Genomic DNA, 21,368 nt, shown 5'->3' with positions numbered 1-21,368 from the left:
AGAAACCCTATACCCATTAGCAGTCACTCTCCACCACCCTCTAATCCCCTGGAAAACCTCAATCCATGACACTTTTGCCTATTCTGGATATTTCATGAAAATTAGATCATATAGTATGTGGTCTTTGTATCTGGCTTCATTCACTTGACATAACGTTTTCAAGGTTCATCTATGTTGTGACAGGTATTAGTACTTCATTCCTTTTTGTTGCCAAATAATATTTCATGGTATGGATACATAACATTTTGTTTATCCATTCATCAGTTGATGGACATTTGGGGTTGTTTCCACTATCATGAGTAATACGGCTATGAACATTTGTGTACAAATTTTTTGTATGAACATGTGTTTTCAATTATTTTGAGTATATACCTGGGCAGAGATCTGCAGGATCATATGGTAACTGTGTTTAACATTTTAAAGAGCTGCCAAACTGTTTTCCAAAGTGGCTACACCATTTTACATTCCCACCAGTAATGTATGTTCTAATTTCTCCACAATTTTGCCAACACTTGTTACTGTGCGTAATTTTTTATTATAGCTATCCTAGAGGATATAAAGTAGTATCTCACTGTGGTTTTGATTTGCATTTCCCTGTTGAGTAGTAATGCTGAGCATCTTTTCATGTGCTTAATTCAAGTCAGTGGTTTCAATTTTAACCTTAAGCTTTTGTGGTTTTGAATAAACAATCCACTAGCCCATTTACATTAACTTAAGGATACTGCTCCTTACACAAACATCTGGAGACACATCTTCATTTGAGGTGATGCTTTCTGAGGTTTTGAGAACTGCAAGGGGTCTTCGTTGAGCTAAAACTCGTGGGGGATCTGCAGGAGGACTGGAAAAAGACATACCTCACTTAGCAATTTTTTTCATAACAGTAACCCCTAATTTATCCTCACTTATAATAACAGAAAATTCTTAAGTAAAAAAAAACCAAAAAAACAAAAAAACAACGTACCTTTTATTCTTCTTTTCTGAAAGAAGAAACTCATCAAAAATGGAGAAAGGTACACTGGGACCTAGAGAAAGAGAGACTAGATACATACTCTAGGAGTAAATGCTTTACTCTTCAAGACAACCAGATAAATTAATCAATATTTTGTGTTGTTTGAAAGCAGGAAGGCAACCTGTTTTTTTAATAACAAAAAGCTTCAAACATATAAAAGGTCATTAAACAATTTACCAATTACCTAAACTTAGATGATCTTGTTCCATTTAGATTCTCTACCACTGTCACTACTCCCCAAACCCAACCCAACAGGATTATTTTAAAGCAAATTCCAGACATGTCATTTTATCTGCAAATATTTCAGTATATATTTCTAAAAGAGGCTTTTTAAAAATCCCAATCCCAAAACATGATACCTACCTATAAAATGAACAATTTATGAATATATATATAATATCAAATGTCCAGTGAGAAGTTTCATATTTTACCAATTAAAAAAATGTTTTGGCCGGGTGTGGTGGCTCACACCTGTAATCCCAGCACTTTGGGAGGCCATGGTGGGCGGATCACGAGGTCAGGAGATCGAGACCATCCTGGCTAACATGATGAAACCCCGTCTCTACTAAAAATACAAAAAAAAATTAGCCGGGCGTGGTGGTGGGCGCCTGTAGTCCCAGCTAGTCGGGAGGCTGAGGCAAGAGAATGGCATGAACCCAGGAGGCAGAGCTTGTAGTGAGCTGAGATCGCGCCACCGCACTCCAGCCTGGGCGACAGAGCGAGACTCAGTCTCAAAAAAATATTAATAAATAAAAAAAAATTTTTTTAAAGTTTGTTTGAATTGGGAATGCAGAGTTAAGATCCGTATACTGTGACTGTTCAAATGCCTCTTAAATCTCTTTTATTCTATAGAGTTTTGGGGGGAATTTTTGTTGAACAAACTGGGTTGCTAGCCCCATAATGCTGGATTTTGCCAATTCCATCCCGCTGTGTTGTTTAACAACGTTCCTCCATGCTTTATATTTCCAATAAATTGACGGTTAGAAACAGAGGTTTAATTAGATTTTAATGTTTTTTATTTTTATTTTTGCCAAACCATTTACAAGTAGATATTCATGTTTCACCACTTTTAACACATTTTGAAGAAAAGAAAACCAATTTGAGTATAAAATAGCTTTAAATTTTTTTTTCCCTGAAAAGAAACACTTCCCTTAGTGTCTTTGCTGTTTAGTGTACAGTAACTAAAGTATAAGATTTGGTGGTTAGTGTAAATTTAAAATTACAATTAAACCAAATATTTTGAAGCACTGAGGAATCTTTAAAAAAATACTCTTTCAAATGTCTTTCCTATCATAAAGCATATGCTTATACTAAATTCCTAGTATCCTAGTCCCCCTGTCTTTCAATCCCTTTATCATAATTAAAAATATTTACCATTTATTACATAATACATTTGTTATCAGCAAGTTCTTCTCAAGGCTGTCAAATACAACTCACCTTTAGAATGAGGTTGTTCCTGCCAAATGTTCTCCGCAAGTGAAGTTTCTCTGTAAAGAAACTTGTTTTAAATCATGTGCTCAATACCCACAGAAAGAACTGTTTAATTTTTAAAAGTCCAAGAGGCTTTTCCATTAAATATAATATTTACTCTAAGATAAATTATTACTGTCAATTCAAATTCTCTTAAAGAAGATGGAAGCTTTGGTTATCAAAAATGTTGCAGAAATATATTTGATAATAGATGTCAAGTTGCATTAATAGTATAAGCAGATTACAAAATGGTAAGCTGCCATTTTTATAAAACAAAACAAAAATACAACACAAAAGAAGAGACAGAACAGTGTTAATGGTAATCATCTCTTAGTGGTAGAAATGGGTGATTTTGTTTTTTAAAAACAGTATATGTATTTGTTTCTATAAGAAACATGTTTCTTCAGTGGAAAATAGTCAATGCTCTGTCCTCCCTCATCAGCATCAAAGCTTATGTTGTGACAGAGACTTACAAAAACCATGTCTCGATACTGTAAACGTCAAGGAGACTTCAAGGCACTAGAGAGTCAAAGGTTGGTTCTAAATGCCCTCCTATATGCATTGTCCCTTCCACCTATGTAGTCTTACCTGGCACAACAGTTTACTTGACAAACAGAACTGGATAGAGTCATTCCTGGTATTTTCTGAGACTCGGAAGCAATTTGCAGTTTAGTTGTCTCCTTTGTAGGCATCGTCTCTTCTTGCTGTTTGCATTAAATAAACAAAATCAATGTCCCTCCCATCCAGAAAATGCTATTTTCTAGTTCTAACATTAGCTTTACTGTACTCTTTCCCTAGACATCCACTAACAGTACAAAATGAGTGTACCACAAAAGTCATTTCCAATAATTTTTATTCCTACTCTAAACCAGTACTGTTGTACTCAACTGAGCAGTGCCAGGCATATACTAAATTTCTTTAGGCAATCCCATTTTAATGGAACATAGCTAGAATAAAAAGCTTAAGCCAGAATTAATAACATAATGATTTGGAGTATAACTAAGAAGTCAATAAACTGCACCACTTATTTCACATGCCACAAATTCCATTTGAAGTCACCTGTTAAATTACTTTCCCGCTCAACTTTCCGGCTACTAACAGCTAAGAAACTACCAGAAACTCTAAATGGGGGTTGGGAGGACTTTAACCTTCTATATTTTTATAATGTTTAAATTTGTTTCAATAAATTCTAGTTTTGTGTATGAAAAAAGAAAAATTACCTGATCACCTGTTCTTTCTTGCTGAGTAGTTTGGATTTCTTTTAGCTTCTTCTCCATCTCTTCAATCTGTTTCTGCATTTCTGCTCTCTTCTCTGCACTGGTCAATAGCTCGGCTAGAAACAGTAAAGTTGCTTGAGGTATTATTCCTCATAGTAACTCATTCTGTCAAAAACTGCCTTTGGAGCTCATCTCCTCAACATATATGTTACTAATACAGATGAAAATGATTTAAGTGGAATAAGGTCCTCAACTTGTGGTCTAGGCCTCTATTCTTTATCCATTCAATAAAAAAATAGAATACCTTTGAACAACACAGGTTTCTACTAAAAGGAAAAAAACATTGAATACCTACTATGTGCCAAGCACAGCTCTGAGTACTTAGGTTTCAGTGGTACATAATACAAAGTCCTTGGTTATGTGATACTAACATTCAAATTTGGGGGCAACACACACACAAGAAAATCAGTTTAGGAAAAAGAATAAAATAGGTGACGTGAGAATGTTTGACTGGGTAGGGAGATGGAGGCCAAGGGAGGGCTACTTAAGACCAGTGATCAGGGAAGATCATTCTGATAAAGTGACAGTATTAAGCTGTAATTTAAATGATAAGGGGCCAAAGTTCTGGGGAAAGATTCTAGGCTAACAAACTAGGTGGCACAAAGGCCCCAATGCAGGAAAAGACCACTGTGTCTAAGAATCCAAAGGAAGTCCAGTGTAGTTGCAGCATAGTAAGAGGGTGAATAGAAAAAGATGGGGTTGGAGAGGTAGGTAAAGGCTAAGCCACATGGAGTTTTGTTTGTTTTTGGAGATGGGGTCTTGCTATATTGCCCAGGCTGGTCTCAAACTTGTGGGCTCAATCCTTCTGCCTCACTCTCCTGAGTAGCTGGGACTACAGGCACATGCTACCATGCTTGGCCATGCAGGGTTTTGCAGGTTAGGGTAAAGAGGCATAGATAGTAAGCCATGTGCTTATTAGTCAATTAATGAATGATGGAGTGTGACTGAAAAGTCTGAGGTGAGTACACTAAGGAGGCTCAGGAGATAGAAAAGAATTAGAGGACAGAAATCTGAAAGAAGCTAAAGTTTTTGAAAGAAGAGGGAAAAAATGATTTGGAAGTGCAACGCAAAGAAAAAACAACCTTTGTGTAGGCCCTGATTGTGGCTTCCTCTTTTCTTGTATTTTTCCCTGAGAGTAAGTAGTTGGCAAGTCTTTGAAGTCAGTTTTTGACAGTAACTAGAAACCACATTTATTGAAATGAGGATTTATGTAAGGGTACAAACTTATACACAGATGGGAATTTATACAAGTTCATGAAATAGATTCAGAGACCAGCTTAGAAATAAGCATTAAGGTCTGCATGGTGGCTCATGCCTATAATCCCAGCACTTTGAAAGGCCAAGGTGGGAAGGATAGCTTGAGCCCAGGAGTTTGAGACCAGCCTGGGCAACACAGGGAGATCCCATCTCTCTATTTAAAAAAAAAAAAAACACAATAGAAATGAGTATTAAAAAATTCTCAGAGGTCAATGCCTTCTTATTCCTAATTAAATCCCATGTAATCTAGAGTAGGTCCTTCTTTGGCTAGTTGAAAACAAAATGTACCTTTTCTTTTTCCCACAGAGATGAGAATTCACCATGTTGCCCAGGCTGGTCTTTTTTTCCCAAAGTGCTGGGATTACAGGTGTGAGCCACTGTGCCTGGCCCTAAAATGGACTTTCATTTTCCTTCTATATATCTGGTACAGACTAAGCTTTTCCCTTAGGAAACAGTTTTTATCTAGATACCTAGTTCCTTTTCTGGTTCATATTTGGCCACCCTCCTAGCCTATTTCTTTGCTGGAGTGGTTCTCCTTTTTTAAAAGCCTTACTCAACACCTTGCTTTGCAACCATCCCTCTCTTCTACCTAGACACACAAGTTCCATTTGAACCCAGAGCACTTTTGACAATCTTGGATGACACTAATTAGTGTAACAAATGAAGGCAATTTCAAACTTACTAACAGTCTGCTTTACCAAAGTTTGCTTCCAGGTTGTCACCTGGAACTCAGAAAAGATTGCTCCTCAAAGTATAAGTGATGGTTAAGTTTCCCAGCTAACCCCACAAACACCACATCCTGTTAAGAGAGCTGAGCTATATTAGTAGGTTATTCTGGATACGGATGTATAAAAGAAACATTACTTTCTCCTTACAGATCCTAATAAAAAATGTCTAAATGGAAGTGGACCCTCCCCTACCTCATTTTCTGTACCCTTCTTTATTCTCCTTCACCTTCTCATGCCTTAAGCCCCATATGCCTTACTTCCCTACTTTCCAGCCCATTCTGCCCTACCTCTTGCCTTCAAGTACTCCAGGCTCCAGAATCAGAACTGCTTCCTGTTTCCCAAAAATTCCCCATATCTCAATTTTTAAACCTTTTCCTTTAATTTAGAAATATAATGTCTTTAAAAAACAATACGAATATCTATAATCTAAATCACTGCAGTATGACCTACTATGTTAATCTAAATAAGCCCTTGGAGAAATTTCAGACAAAGTATCAAAGGTAAAGTGAAATATTTCAAGCAATAACATTAGGAAAAGTACTTAATAGGGATGCATGGAATGTACATATATGCATGTCAGGGATCATAGCTGCTTGCTTATTGTATTGGGGAATATAAATTGTTCATACAGTTCAGAACTTCTTCCTTTACTTCTAAACATACTCAGTGCCCCCACACCCCAAGGAGTTTTCATGGAAGGCAGCAATGGGAGTTTGGCTGATACACAGAAACAGTACAACCATAGAAGGCAGCAGTGGGATTTTGGCTGATACACAGAAAGAAACAGTACTACCATAGAAACATCATACAAAGGTACAAACTATAAGGTTAGTTTTCTTCAGACTTAATAGGTCAGCTCAACCTTCACACAACTAAGTTAAGTCCTCTTCACAAACTTGAATTACACACACCTTCCCTTTGCTCTTTTAATTTCTTCCGGAAAACTTCAGCCCGAATTTCTTCAAAGGAGAATTCCCCTACTCCTGCATAAATCTTCTCCTTACAATACATCATCTTCTCTTTCTTCTCCTCAGACGCTTGCTGATGGCTCTGAACCCTTTGTAGAGGATCTCCTTCTTCCTTTCCAGGCTTTCTGGTGCTTAGGATGTGGTTTATACTAGGTTCAATTTTACATGGTGTCCTAAAGAAGCAAAATTACTATTATTCATATGGGTCAAAATAAAAAAAATCAATAAGATTGATAAAAGAAGCTAAAAATAATTTACAAGGGCCATCAATAATTATGTTCTGCAAATCTGGAGGCCTTACATTACCTGACTTCAAACTATGCTGTAAGGCCATAGTCACCAAAACAGCATAATACTGGTATAAAAACAGGCATATAGATCAATGGAACAGAATAGAGAGCCCAGAAATAAAGCCAAATACTCACAGTCAACTGATCTTTGACAAAGCAAACAAAAGCGTAAAGTGGGGAAAGATACTCTATTCAACAAATGGTGCTGGGATAATTGGCAAGTCACAAGTAGGAGAATGAAACTAGATCCTCCTCTCTCACCTTATACAAAAAATCAACTCAAGGTGGATCAAAGACTTAATTAAATCTAAGATCTGAAACCATAAAAATTCTAGACGATAACACTGGAAAAACCCTCCTAGACATTGGCTTCGGTAAAGACTTCATGACCAAGAACCCAAAAGCAAACGCAACAAAAACAAAGATAATTAGATGGGGCTAAACTAAACTAAAAAGCTTCTGCACAGCAAAAGGAATAATCAGCAGAGTAAACAGACAACCCACAGAGTGGGAGAAAATCTTCACGATCTATGCATCCGACAAAGGACTAATATCCAGAATCTACCAGGAACTCAAACAAATCAGCAAGAAAAAAACAAACAATCCTATCAAAAAGTGGGCTAAGGACATGAATAGACAATTTTCAAAAGATAAACAAATGGCCAACGAGCATATGAAAAAATGTTCAGCATCACTAATTATCAGGGAAATGCAAATCAAAACCACAACGCAATAACCCCTTACTCCTGTGAGAATGGCCATAATAAAGAAATCAAAAAATAATAGACACTGGCATGGATGTGGTGAAACGGGAACACGTTTACACTGTTGGGGGGAATGTAAACTCGTACAACCACTATGGAAAACAGTACGGAGATTCCTTAAGGAACTAAAAGTAGATCCACCATTTGATCCAGCAATCCCACTCCTGGGTATCTACCCAGAGGAAAAGAAGTCATTATATGAAAAAGATACTTGCACATGCATATTTTAGCAGCATAATTCACAACTGCAAAAATATGGAACCAGCCCAAATGCCCATCAATCAATGCATGGATAAAGAAAATGTGGTATATATCTACCATGAAATACTACTCAGCCACAAAAAGGAACAAAAAAATGGCATTTGAAGCAACCTGGATGGAATTGGAGACCATTATTCTAAGTGACGTAACTGAGGAATGGAAAACCAAACATCATATGTTCTCACTTATAAGTGGGAGCTAAGCTATAAGGACACAAAGCCATAAAAATGATACAATGGACTTTGGGGATTTGGGGGAAAGGATGGGGGGAGTAAGGGTTAAAAGACTACACATCGGGTACAGTGTACACTGCTCAGGTGACGGGTGCACCAAAATTTCAGAAATAACCGCTAAGTAACTTATTTGTGTAACCAAACACCACCTGTTCCCCAAAACCTATTGAAATGTAAAAAAAAGGAAAATAAAATTATGTTCTGAGTACCACCTCTGCTATGATAAGGAAGGAAATTAGCCATAAGTGGGATAATCAAGTAGCTTATATTACTTATAGGTGAAAGCAAATCTTAATACCATATCCTCATCATAACCAGTATATAAAAAGAAATTAACCTATGCAATACAATCCATTTTTCATGGTTTAGTATCCAAAAGAATTAGAGTTAAGAATATAGCATTAGGAACCTAATAATATTAAGTCCAAGGTGCTCAGCTGAGGGGGAAGAATCAGAGTGGCAGCATAGCTTTTAAAAGAATGAAGTATAAGATACCTCAACCATGATATAGCAGGTATTTTCAACCCTGTGGATCAGAATAACTTATATACCTTTTATTTTCTTATATACCTTTGTACAACTAAAGATACCGGTCCTTCCCAGACTCAGTGAATCAAAAACTGTAATGGTAGGGTCCAAGCATTTACATGCTTAAAAAGTTTCCCCAACTTGCTCAACCTGCTAGAGGACATCTATGAAAAACCCACACTAACATCATACTTCATGGTAAAAGGCTAGATGCTTTCCCCCTAAGATCAGGAACAAGACAAGGATGTCCATTCTTGTCACTTCTATACAACACTGTACTAGAAGTTCTAGTCAAGGCTATTAGGCAAGAGAAACAAAGAAAAGGAGTCCAGATGGGAAAGGAAGAAGCAAAACTATCTCTTTTTGCAGAAGATATGGTCTTAGATAACAAACGAGTTCATCAAAGTCAAAGAATACAAGATCAGTATACAAAATCAACCTATTTTACCCATTTGCAATGAACAATCTGAAAATAAAATTAAATCACATCTCAAGGCAGCATGTAAAAAAGGGGAAAAAAGAAAATGAAATTAAGAAAACAATTCTATTTACTATAGCTTCAAAAATAGTAAAATACTTCACAATAAATTTAAAATAAGGAAGTGAGAGAAGACATATAGATGGAAGTTGGACACAGTGGCCTGTAATTCCAGCACTTTGGGAGGCTGAGGCAGGAGGATCACTTGAGGCCAGGAGTTCAAGACCAGCCTGGGCAATACAGTGAGACCCTGTTTTTTTTTTTTTTTTTAGACAGAATCTTGCTCTTGTCACCCAGGCTGGAGTGCAATGGCATGATCGCAGTTCACTGCAACCTCCGCCTCTCAGGTTCAAGCGATTCTCCTGCCTCCGCCTCCCGAGTAGCTGGGATTACAGGCACCTGCCACCACGCCCAGCTAATTTTTGTATTTTTAGTAGAGATGGGGTTTTGCCATGTTGGCGAACTCCTGACCTCATGATCCACCTGCCTCACCTTCCAAAGTACTGGGATTACAAGCATGAGCCACCACGCCCGGCTGAGACCCTGTCTTCAAAAAAAAAATTAGCCAGGCATGGTGTCATGCACCTATAGTCCCAACTACCAGGATGGATAAGGCAGGAGGATTGCTTGAGCCCAGCCTGGGCAACAGAGTGAGACACTGTCTCTAAGGGAAAAAAAAAAAAAAAAAAAAAAAAGTGGTAATAAGCATATAAAAAAAAAAAAAGATGATAGTAAGCATATGAAAAGATGCTTCCCAGATGTCATTAAGGAATTGCAAATTAAAACAATAAGATACTGCTGCACACCTATTAGAGTGGTTAAAATCTAAAATATTGACAACACTGAATGCTGCCAAGGATGTGGAACAATAGAAGCTCTCATTGATGGGTGGTAGGAATGCAAAACAGTATAGCTACTTTGAAAAATAACTTGGCACTTTCCTACAAGGCTAAAATTAGTCTTATTATACAATCCAGCCAAATGAGTTGAAAACTTATGTCTGCACCAAAACCTGGCTGGGTGTGGTGACTCATGCTTGTAATCCCAGTGCTCTGGGAGGCTGACGCAGGAAGATCACTTGATCCCAGGAGTTCAAGACCAGGCTGGGCAACACAGTGAGACCCCATCTTTAAAAAAAAAAAATAATAAGCCAGCCATGGTGGCATGCACCTGTAGTCCCAGCTACTAGGGAGGATGAGGTGGGAGGATCACTTGAGTCCAGGAGTCAGGACTGCAGTGAGCCAGGATCATGCTACTGTACTCCAGCGTAGGTGAAAGAACAAGACTATTTAAAACAAACAAACCTGCACATGAATGTCTACCGCAACCTTATTCATAATTGCTAAAACTTGTAAGTCACCAAAATGACCTCCTGTGGGCGAATGGATAAACAAATCGTGGCACATCTATACAATGGAATATCATTCAGCACTATAAATGAGGTATTGTGTCAGAAGAAGATGCAGAGGAACCTTATTGTTAAGTGGAAGGAGCCAGATTGAAAAGGCTACATATACTATGATTCCAGCTACATGATTTTCTGGAAAGGGCAGAACTATAAAGACAATGAAAAGATCAATAGTTACAGGGGATTTGGGGAGAGAGAGAAAGGGATGAACAAATGGAGCAAAGGGGATTTCTGGGACAATGAAACAATTCTGAATGACACCGTAATGATGGATAGATAATATTATGTATTTGTTAAAACACACAGAACTGTAAAACACATTAGAGTGAATCCTAATGTAAACAAAGAACTTTAACCAATAATAATGTATCAATATTGGTTCATCAATTATAACAAATGTACCACACTCATGCATGATGTTAGTAATAGGAAAAACTGTGTACAGGGTTGAGGGGTGGGGATGGAGTATGTGGGAACTCTCTGTACTTTCTACTCCATTTTTCTGCAAAGCTAACACTGCCCTAAAAAATAAAGTCTATTAATTAAAGAAAAAGAAGTGCAAAACTTGTATTCTGAAACCTACAAAACACTGAAAGAATTCAAAGACATACATAACTGGAAAGACATCCTATGTTCATGGACCAGAAGACTTAATATTTTTAAGATGTCAATATCATTAAATTAACCTACAGATTCAACAGAATCACTATCAAAATTCCAGCTGGCTTTTCTGCAGAAATTGACAGGCTAATCTTAAAATGTATAAGGAATTACAAGAGAATCAGAATAGTCAAAACAATCTTTAAAAAGAGGAACAAAGTTGGATTCATCCTTCTCAATTTCAAAAGTTACTACAAATCTGCAGTAATCGAGATCGTGTAGGGGAAAAAAAAAAGACTGTGTGGTATTGACATAAGGATAGACAAAAAGATCAATGGAATAGAATTAAGAGTCTAGAAATAAATTCATACATTTTGGTCAACTGATATTTCAACAAGAGTGCCAAGACCATTCAATAGCAAAAGAGTAGTCTTCAACAAGTGGTGCTGGGACCACTGGATATCCACATGAAGAAAAATGAATTTGGACTCCTTCCTTATACCATACACAAAAATTAGCTAAGAATGGATCACAGACCTAAATATAAGAGCTAAAACTATAAAACTCCTAGAAGAAAATGTATAAAAGCAAATCTTCATGACTTTGGATTAGTCAGAGCCTTCTTAGATATGACAGTGAAAGCTCAGGGACAAAATTTTAAAAAACAGATAAATTGCATTTCATCAAAATTTTAAATAACTTTTGGTCTTCAAAAGAGATCATTGAGAAAATAAAATGACAACCCAGAATGGGAGAAAATATTTGCAAATCATGTATCCGAAAAGAAGTTGTATCTAGAATACATAAAAGACTCTTAAACTCAACAATAAAAAACCAAATAGAGTAGTTTCCCCTTACTCATGGTTTCATTTTCAGCAGTTTCAGTTATCTATGGTCAATGGTGGTCCAAAAATATTAAGTGAAAAATTCCAGAAATAATTCATCAGTTTTAAATTACAAGTCATTCTGGCCAGGCGCAGTGGCTCATGCCTGTAATCCCAGCATTTTGGGATGCTGAGTCGGGTGGATCACTTGAGCCCAAGAGTTCGAGACCAGCCTGGGCAATATGGCGAAACCCCGTCTCTACTAAAAACACAAAAATTACCTGGGTGTGATGGCACAAGCCTGTAATCTCAGCTACTTGGGAGGCTGAGGTACAAGAATCGGTTGAACCCGGGAAGCTGAGGTTGCAGTGAGCCACGATGGCACTACTGCACTCCAGAATGGGCAACAGAGTGAGACTCGGTCTCAAAAAAAAAAAAAAAAATTACAAGGCGTTCTGACTATCCTGATGAAATCCCATATATTCCCATTTTGTTCCACCTAGGATGTGAATCATCCTTTTGTTCAGCATCCACATATTAGTCACTTAGCAGCTGACTCGTATCAGATCAGCTGTCCCAGCATTGCAGTTCTTGTGTTCAAGTAACCCTTATTATACTTAATAATGGCCCCAAAGCACAAGAGTAGCGATGCTGATGATTTGGATATGCCAAAGGTGAAAGTTCTTAACTTTTATTTTATTGTTTTATTTTATTTTTAGAGACAGGATCTGAATCTGTTGCCTAGGGTGGAGTACAGTGGCGTGACCCTGGCTCACTGCAGCCGTAGACTCCTGGGCACAAACAATCCTCCCACCTCATCCTCCATAGTAACGGAAACCATAGGCATGTGCCACTATGCCCAGCCAGTGTATTTTTATTTTTAGTAGAGATGGGGTCTCACTATATTGCTCAGGCTGGTCTTGAACTCCTGGTCTCAAGCAATCCTCCTGCCCCAGCCTCCCAGAGCCAAAGTGCTGAGATTAAAGGCATCAGCCACCATGCCCAGCCTCAACTTTCACTAAAAAAAATAAAATAAAAATAAAAAATAAATCACATGCTGAAGTTGATAAGATTTACAGTAAGAATGAATCTTCTATCAGTGAAATTGTGAAGAAGGAAAAAAAGTTAGTTTTGCTGTCATACCTCAAACTGCAAAAGTTATGGCCACAGTGCATGTATAAGATAAAACATAGTATATAAATGGTTTGGTACTATCAAGTTTCGGGCATCCACTGGAGTCTTGGAACGTATCCCCTACAGATAAGGAGGGACTACTGTAATCCAAAGGAAAAATAGGCCAAGGATTTAAACAGTCATTTCTCCAAAGAAGATATACAAAAGGCCAATAAACCTATGAAAATAGGCTCAACATCATTAGTCACCAGGAAAATGCAAATCAAAACCAGCGAAATACCACTTCACATCTCTGTTAGAATGACAATAACCAAAAAAGCATAATAACAAGTGTTGGGAAGGAATTGGAGTACTCGTACATTAGGGGAATGTGAGAAGGTAAAATGGTACAGCTTTTTTGGAAAACAATTTGACAGTTCCTCAAAATATTAAACATGGAGTTAATCACACGATCCAGCAATTCCTCTCCTAGGTATACAGCCAAGAAAAACGAAAACACATGTCCACACAAAAATGTATACACGGTATTCACAGCAGCATTATCCATAATAGCCAAAAAATGAAAACAATTAAAATTTGTATCAACTGATGAATGGTTAAATAAAATGTTGTGAAGCCACACAACGGAATACTACTTGGCAATAAAAAATAATGAAGTACTGATACATGTCACAACGTGGATGAACCTTGAAAACACTACCCTAAGTGAAAGAAACCAGTTAGAAAAGACCATACACTGCCTGGACGCAGTGGCTCACGCCTATAATCCCAGCGGTCTGGGAAGCCGAGGTGGGCGGACCACTTGAGGTCAGGAGTTTGAGACCAGCCTGGCCAACGTGGTGAAAGCCTGTCTTTACTGAAAATACAAAAGTTAGCCAGGAGTGGTGGCACATGCCTGTAGTCCCAGATACTCAGAAGGCTGAGACAGGAGAAATGCTTGAACTGGAGAGGCGAAGGTTGCAGTGAGCAGAGATTGCACCAATGTACTCCAGCCTGGGCGACAGAGCAAGACTCTGTCTAAAACACAAAAAACAAACAAACAAAAAAAAACAAAGACCACATATTATATTATTTACACGAGATGTCTAGAATTGGTAAATTATCTATAGAGAAAAAAACAGTTGGTTGCTAGGGTGGGGATTGGGGTAATGGTGGGGAATCGAGTCTTACAGGTATGGGTACAAGGTTCTTTCTGGAGTGATAAAAATGCTCTAAAATTGATTGTGGTAAGGGTTGCACAACTCTGTGAACATACTAAAAGCCACGGAATTATATTTCGATGAAGTTTAGAAAAAAAAAGAAAAAAAAGCTTTAAAAGGCTGAGTGCAGTGGCTCATGCCTGTAATCCCGGCACTTTGGGAGGCTAAGGCGGGCAGATCTCGAGGTCAGGAGTTCGAGACCAGCCTGGCCAATATGGTGAAACCATGGCTCTACTAAAAATACAAAAATTAGCTGGGCGTCGTGGCGGGCGTCTATAATGCCAGCTACTCGGGTGGCTGAGGCAGGAGAATTGCTTGAACCCGGGAGGCGGAGGTTACAGTGAGCTGAGACGGCGCCACTGCACTCCAGCCTGGGTAACAGAGCAAGACTCTGTCTCGAAAAAAAAAAAAAAAAAGAAAACTTAAATTTGACTGTATGATAATTAAAAGCATAATGGTTACTGCTACATGAAGCCAAAAGACAAGGACAAAGTAGGGGGAAAATATTTGCAACTCGTATTATAGATTTTTAGCTGATTTTCTTCATCTATGAAGAGCTTCTATACATCACTAAGCAAAACGCAACCTAAAGAAAAATGTGTGGAGAGGTCAAATAAAACATCCATGGAAAAGAATTTAAAATAAAAATAAGTTTAGGTCGGGCATGGTGGCTCATGCCTGTAATCCCAGCACTTTGGGAGGCCGAGACAGGCAGATCACGAGGTCAGTTCGAGACCAGCCTGACCAACATGGTGAAACCCTGTCTCTACTAAAAATACAAAAATCAGCCGGGCGTGGTGGCCCGAACCTGTAATCCCAGCTACTCAGGAGGCTGAGGCAGGAGAATTGCTTGAACTTAGGAGGTGGAGGTTGCAGTGAGCCAAGATTGCACCACTGCACTCCAGCCTGGGCAACAGAGTGAGACTCCGTCTCAAAAATAATAAGTTTAATATTTCCTGTACCATATTAATTTTAACATAAGTCATGTTTCTACAAAATGACTTGAAACATTAGAAAAACCAGACATCTACAAATGTATGTTATCCATTTCTATAAAGGCTCATAGGATTTTCTTTTTTATTTTCGTTATTTATTTTTGAGACAAGGTCTCACTCTGTACTCAGGCTAGAGTGCAGTGGTGCAGTCACAGCTCACCGTAGCCACAAACTCCTGGGCTCAAGTGATCCCTAGCCTCCCAAGTAGCTGGGACCACAGGTGCAAGCCACTGCACTTGGCTAATTTTTAAATTTTTTGTGGAGACAGGGTCTCCCTGTGTTGCCCAGGCTGGTCTTGAACTCCTGGGCTCAAGCGATCCTTTCACCTCAGCCTCCCAAAGTGCTGAAATTACAGGCATGAGCCACGATGCCAAGCTGATTTTTCTTTATTATTATAATTGATTTATTTTTTAGAGATAGGTTCTTGCCCTGTTGCCCAGGCTGGAGTGCTGTGGCATGATCATAGCTTACTGTAGCTTCAAATTCTTGGGCTCAAGTGATCCTCCTGCTTCAGCCACTCGAGTAGTTAGGACTACAGGCACCCACCACCATACCCAGCTAATTAAAAAAAAATTGTTGACCGGGTGCGGTGGCTCACATCTGTAATCCCAGCACTTTGGGAGGCTGAGGTGGGCGGATCATGAGGTCAGGAGATCGAGACCATCCTGGCTAACACGGTGAAATCCCGTCTCTACTAAAAAATAGAAAAAATTAGCCAGGCGTGGTGGCAGGCGCCTGTAGTCCCAGATACTCAGGAGGCTGAGGCAGGAGAATGGCGTGAACCTGGGAGGTAGAGCTTGCAGTGAGCTGAGATCATGCCACTGCACTCCAGCCTGGGCAACAGAGCAAGACTCCGTCTCAAAAAAAAAAAAATTTGTTTTGTAGGGTCAGGTTTTTGCTATGTTGCCCAGGCTGGTCTCGAACTCCTGGCCTGGAGTGATTCTCCTACCTTGGCCTCCCAAAGTGCTGGGATGGCAAACGTGGGCTGCCATGCCCGTTGAACCAGGAGGTCGAGGTTGCGGTGAGCTGAGATGGTGCCACTGCACTTCAGCCTGCTGGGCAACAGAGCAAGACTCTGTTTAAAAAGAAAAAAAAAAAAAGAAAAAAAATAGCCTTCCCCTTGTCCTGAGCACTTAGGCAGAATTTTTGCTCAAAATCTTAATTATTATTTTTGCATTCCTAGCATGTAGTGGGAGTTATAAATTAGTTATGAGGTAACTCTTGCACTGGGACAGAATTCAACCTAGTATTAGGACTAGGGCTGGGCGCAGTGGCTCACGCCTGTAATTCCAGCACTTTGGGAGGCCAAGGCGGGCGGATCACTAGGTCAGGAGATCGAGACCATCCTGGCTAACACGGTGAAACCCCGTGTCCACTAAAAAAAAAAAAAAATTAGCTGGGCGTGGTGGCAGATGCCTGTAGTTCCAGCTACTTGGGAGGCTAAGGCAGGAGAATGGCGTGAACCTGGGAGGCAGAGCTTCCAGTGAGCCCAGATCGCACCACTGCACTCCACACTCCAGCCTGGGCGACACAGCGAGACTCCATCTCAAAAAAAAAAAAAAAAAAAAAAAAAGAACTAGGCAATGTTAAGCATTAGACTAAATCTCAGGCTGGCTTGTTTATTTAACCACCAGCTACTATACTTTTTCTTAAAAACAGAAATGCTAAGGATTAGGAAGAAAGAGGAAAAATATGTCCAGAAGGAAAAAGCAGGATAAGAGGGAAAACTATCATAATTTCTCATTACTATCAATGACAAAATGAGAACGTCTCATTTAAATCACATTATCTTTTCCCTACATCCCCATTATCCCATCAGACAAATCTTCTAACTCTACTGCTGAAGCCTCTCCCATCCAAGCTCCCTTCTCCTTTCATTACCACTACCCTGCCCAAATACCGCCCCTTAATATCCTTGCCTGAACTATTCCAATAGCTTATTTATGTATGTTCAATCCATCTTCCAGAATAGCCACCATTGATTTTCCTAAAGCAATGTTCAGTAATGAAAATATAAACCTAATTAATGTTTATTCCTTAATAAAATATTAACAAATGGTCTTTTAACCCTAACATACTCAAAGGAATACAAACATAAAGGATATACAAAATTTTGTCTGGTTACTTTTTTTTTTAATAAATAGAGACAGGGTCTCACTAGGCTGCCCAGGCTGGTCTTGAACACCTAGGCTCAAGGGATCCTCCTGCCTCAGCCTGTGCTGGGATTACAGGTGTGAGCTACTGCGCCTGGCCTGGTTACTTTCATCTTCATAAAGAAGAAACTGCCTTTGGGAAGTAGAATAGGTGCCTCTGCCCACCCTTAATAATTCCCACTTCAAAATATCCAAAAACCACACTCACATAACTGGCTGTCGTGCAGTCTCTTCCACATATGGAGTGAAACTGGGAAGCACAGCGGGTACAGCTATCAGTGAAGCTGTATTGCCACGAGGCTGGAGATGAAGAAGAAAACTAAAATTACCATAGTTTTATGTTCTCAGACAGCATATATAGACCATGGCTAAATATTCAAGAGGAATTAAAAGAGATGGTAAAAATACTTCTCTACCCTAAATGTGAAGTCTTTGTTGTGTCAGCAAAGCACTGGATCTAAGAGTCCTTACCCTGTGTTCCAAGGACCTGCCTGTGTTCCAAGGGCCTGCTTGCAGCTCATTCTCTTTGGCCCTGGGCATGGGGGGTGCTATCCATGGCTGGACTGTAGGCTTAGACAACTCTGCTGTAGAAGCCTCATCAGCATTTTCATCAAAAACAGTAATTCTACTATTATTTTGCATCTGTTGAGGAAATGGATTTTGGAGTCCTCTGTTCTGGCTTGGAGCTAGGAGCAAAAATATTAAAACCTCATGTAAAATGTTTCATTATTAACTTAGATGCCAGATAAAGTATACCTATTCTTCCTCAACTCAAGGACAGTATTTCCACTACAACAGAAAAAAAAAAAGAAATTTTAAAAATAATCTTTAAAAAAATTAATAAATCAAAAATAGAATCGTTTTATCCATTCTTTGTTACTTATATTCTGCCTTCTTTTCCCTCCTCCAGTCACCCCACATCTTTTATTCACAAATTTCCAAAAAAGACATTCTGCATCTTCCTTCAGTCATCATTATAACATTATCTAGTTTTATCAGAAACTAACCTAAGTTTTATTCTTCAGTTTTAAATTTTCTCTCAATGGAAATCAGCAGAGATATACTGGAACTAGAGAATACAAAATTAACCCATTTATTAGGGGTTTTCTCTGTTGTGGGGCTGGTTATTAACCAAGCTTCATCATGATCTGGATGAAATAGCCTTTGGGACCATACACTCCCTATATCCTAATTCTAGAACCACCAAGTAACATTCTGATTATTGATAAATTGATACCAGGAAAGAAATAAGAGATTAAAAAAACAGCCTGGTTTACATGTCTAACTGCTATAAATTTAGTAAATAAAAGCTTATTATTCTCTGTACCTTCTGCTCAATTTTGCTATGAACCTAAAACTACTCTAAAAAATAGTCAGTGTTGTCCAGATGCAGTGGCTCACACCTATAATCCTAGCTACTTGGGAGGCTGAGGCAAAAGAACTGCTTGAGCCTAGGAGTTTGAAGCTGCGGTGAGCTATGATTGCACTACCACGTTTCAGGCAACAGAGCGAGAACCTATCTCTCAAAAAAAAAAAAAGTCCATGTTAATTAAAAAAAATTATTGCTGATCTTTGGGTATATAGAGAGTCTAATTTCTGGTCCCAAAGGGCTCTGAAGGCAGGGTTCTTAACCATATTAGTATCATTCTCTGAGGCTTTGGTATATGTAAGCTTCACTTTAACAACACCTGCTATGTTACTACATATCTTCTTTCAACTAACAATTCAAACTCAGAAAATCTTGATGCTTCCTAAATGTTAGGTCTTTCTTAATTAAGACACAAAATTACTGATGCATTTTGATTTTACTGCACACTGTAATATTAGCTCTCCTTTGACTTCCTTCTTTTTGCTACTCAGTATTCAGCAAACTAGAAGTGTCCACAGGTATATTTATGTATTATCTTCTTACATGATTTTACCACTAGAAACTAACAGTTTTCCGAAATAACGTTTAACAAACTTACCCTTGAGAGCACCTCCTACACGGATGATTGGAGCTCTTGCTGTCTTTTTCCCTTTGCTCTTTAGTTCAGCTAGTGTGCTTCGTTGTGGTACAGAAGACTCAAAAACTTCCTCCTCTTCTTCTTTCTCAAGTGCCAACAGAGTTTGCCGAGACACTCGAGCTTGGAATTGTCTAAAGTAGCAGAATGCACAACTTTTAGTGAGGTGACCACTATTTTACCAGACTCAAAATTTCCAATTTGTTAAAGTAAACAAATTAGAAGAGCAGGCTGGGGGAAGAATGCAGAAATATCCCAAAGAACATGTTTATTCTCTCAGAAGTAAAGAGAGTCACCTTAAGATCATGAAAAGTTTTGGCTAGAATTATTTAACTCTCCCTTTAAATGCCCAAGTTTGACCAATTTAAATTATTCTGAAAATCACCATTAAGTTGATCTGAGGATCAGGTTAGGGTTATTAAGACTAAGATCACAGAGTTTATTAAGATTAGAGTTTTCCCACTAACTTTTTATTAGAAAACTTGACCCACCAATTGTTAACACTGTGCCACATCTATTTTATCACTGTGTCTCTTTTTCTATACACATGCATGCGCGCACGTGCACGCACACACATATACGGTTTCTCCTGACCTATATGAAATGAAGTTGCATATGACATGACATTGTACTTTAGCAAAGCTGGCAGAAGTTTGAAAAGTAAACTTCCTATGCTGCTGCCACAGTTTTAAGTATTATCAGAAGAGATTCTCCATTCCTACCACTGCTTCATTTAACTAGCCTTAAAAAGTATTATCATAAGGGTAAAAAAAACCCCAAAAAACCCAGAATAAATTGCAGGTGTTGGCCAAGATGGAGTATGCCCACTGTACCTTTTCTCTTTCTCTCACTGATAGGAATTAAAAACTATAGACCATATACAAAAAAAGCAACTAACTGAGGGCTCTGAAAAGTCAACAAAAGCAAGCAGACTGTGGAGAGGGGTCAAAACTTGAAGAAACAACCCACGCAGGATTGTTTCCTGTTTTTTTATTCTTCTATTTTCTCTTGTGGTTTTGAACTGTTGCAGTGGTGGTATGTGAATGTAAAACTCAGAGAAACCCCATCTTTCTGGCCTGAGGACTGGGAAAAGAGGACTCTGAAGGCCAAAGAATATGGGAGGAGAACTGCAAAGGAATGAGCTGAACAAGAGGATCTCCTAATTCTGTATGTGAATTGGCATACATCTTAGGTTCCCTCTTGAGCTATGCATGCACAGGGTAGATTCAAAGCAGCACAGAAAAGGCTTTGAGAACTGAACAATGATATAAACCACTGCCCAAGCCCCAGATTAACCCTTAAGCAGGACATGCATGGGACAGACCCAAAGCAACACAGCAAAGGTCTTGAAAACTGAACTGACAGTGGAACCAACAGCCACACAAGATGACAAAGAACTTGTAATATCTGAAGTGTGGTTGTCTACTAAGACAAAAACATAGATATTCTCCAGGGAATATTGGCCAACAGGATCAGAGTCTTATAACATATGGTCAGGATAAATGTCCAGGGTACAAGAATTACTTGACACACAAAGAACTAGAAAAATGTGACCAACTTTCAAAGGAAAAAACAATAAGCAAATGCAAACATAAAATGACCCAGATGGTATAGTTTTCAGATGGAGATTTTATTTTGTTTTTTGAGATGGAGTCTCATTCTGTCACCCAAGCTGGAGTACAGTGGCACAATCTCGGCTCACTACAACCTCTGCCTCCTGGGTTCAAGCGATTCTCCTGCTTCAGCCTCCCGAGTAGCTGAGATTGCAGGCACCCACAACCATGCACAG

The 21,368-nt window shown here is 38.8% G+C and overlaps 1 protein-coding gene and 1 long non-coding RNA gene across 2 annotated transcripts in view, besides 1 other annotated feature; one reads left to right on the top strand and one right to left on the bottom strand.

Moving 5' to 3' along the window:
• Positions 1–21,368, bottom strand: part of BUB1B (BUB1 mitotic checkpoint serine/threonine kinase B) — a 60,055-nt gene that overhangs the window by 17,697 nt on the left and 20,990 nt on the right. The window contains exons 6-14 of the mRNA NM_001211.6: positions 19,544–19,713; positions 18,048–18,262; positions 17,785–17,876; positions 6,653–6,882; positions 3,700–3,812; positions 3,068–3,183; positions 2,447–2,496; positions 962–1,022; positions 733–838 (exon numbers count right to left, since the gene is read on the bottom strand). Coding sequence (NP_001202.5) covers positions 733–838; positions 962–1,022; positions 2,447–2,496; positions 3,068–3,183; positions 3,700–3,812; positions 6,653–6,882; positions 17,785–17,876; positions 18,048–18,262; positions 19,544–19,713 — 1,153 coding nt within the window. The remainder of the gene's footprint in view (positions 1–732; positions 839–961; positions 1,023–2,446; positions 2,497–3,067; positions 3,184–3,699; positions 3,813–6,652; positions 6,883–17,784; positions 17,877–18,047; positions 18,263–19,543; positions 19,714–21,368) is intronic.
• The window catches only part of LOC107984763 (uncharacterized), a 67,810-nt gene that overhangs the window by 36,275 nt on the left and 10,167 nt on the right, over positions 1–21,368 (top strand). The gene's annotated exons all lie outside the window — the stretch shown is intronic.
• Positions 12,553–12,753: a silencer, noted in NCBI's record as "peak2300 fragment used in MPRA reporter construct". NCBI's record gives its function as "represses an SCP1 promoter by STARR-seq MPRAs in K562 erythroleukemia cells {active_cell/tissue: K562}" and the evidence as "EXISTENCE:reporter gene assay evidence [ECO:0000049][PMID:32103011]".

This window comes from Homo sapiens, chromosome 15 (genome assembly GCF_000001405.40).
Source record: "Homo sapiens chromosome 15, GRCh38.p14 Primary Assembly".
NCBI classification, from domain to species: domain Eukaryota; kingdom Metazoa; phylum Chordata; class Mammalia; order Primates; family Hominidae; genus Homo; species Homo sapiens.
The sequence above is the reverse complement of the archived record's forward strand: the minus strand, read 5'-3'. Positions and strand labels throughout refer to the sequence as shown.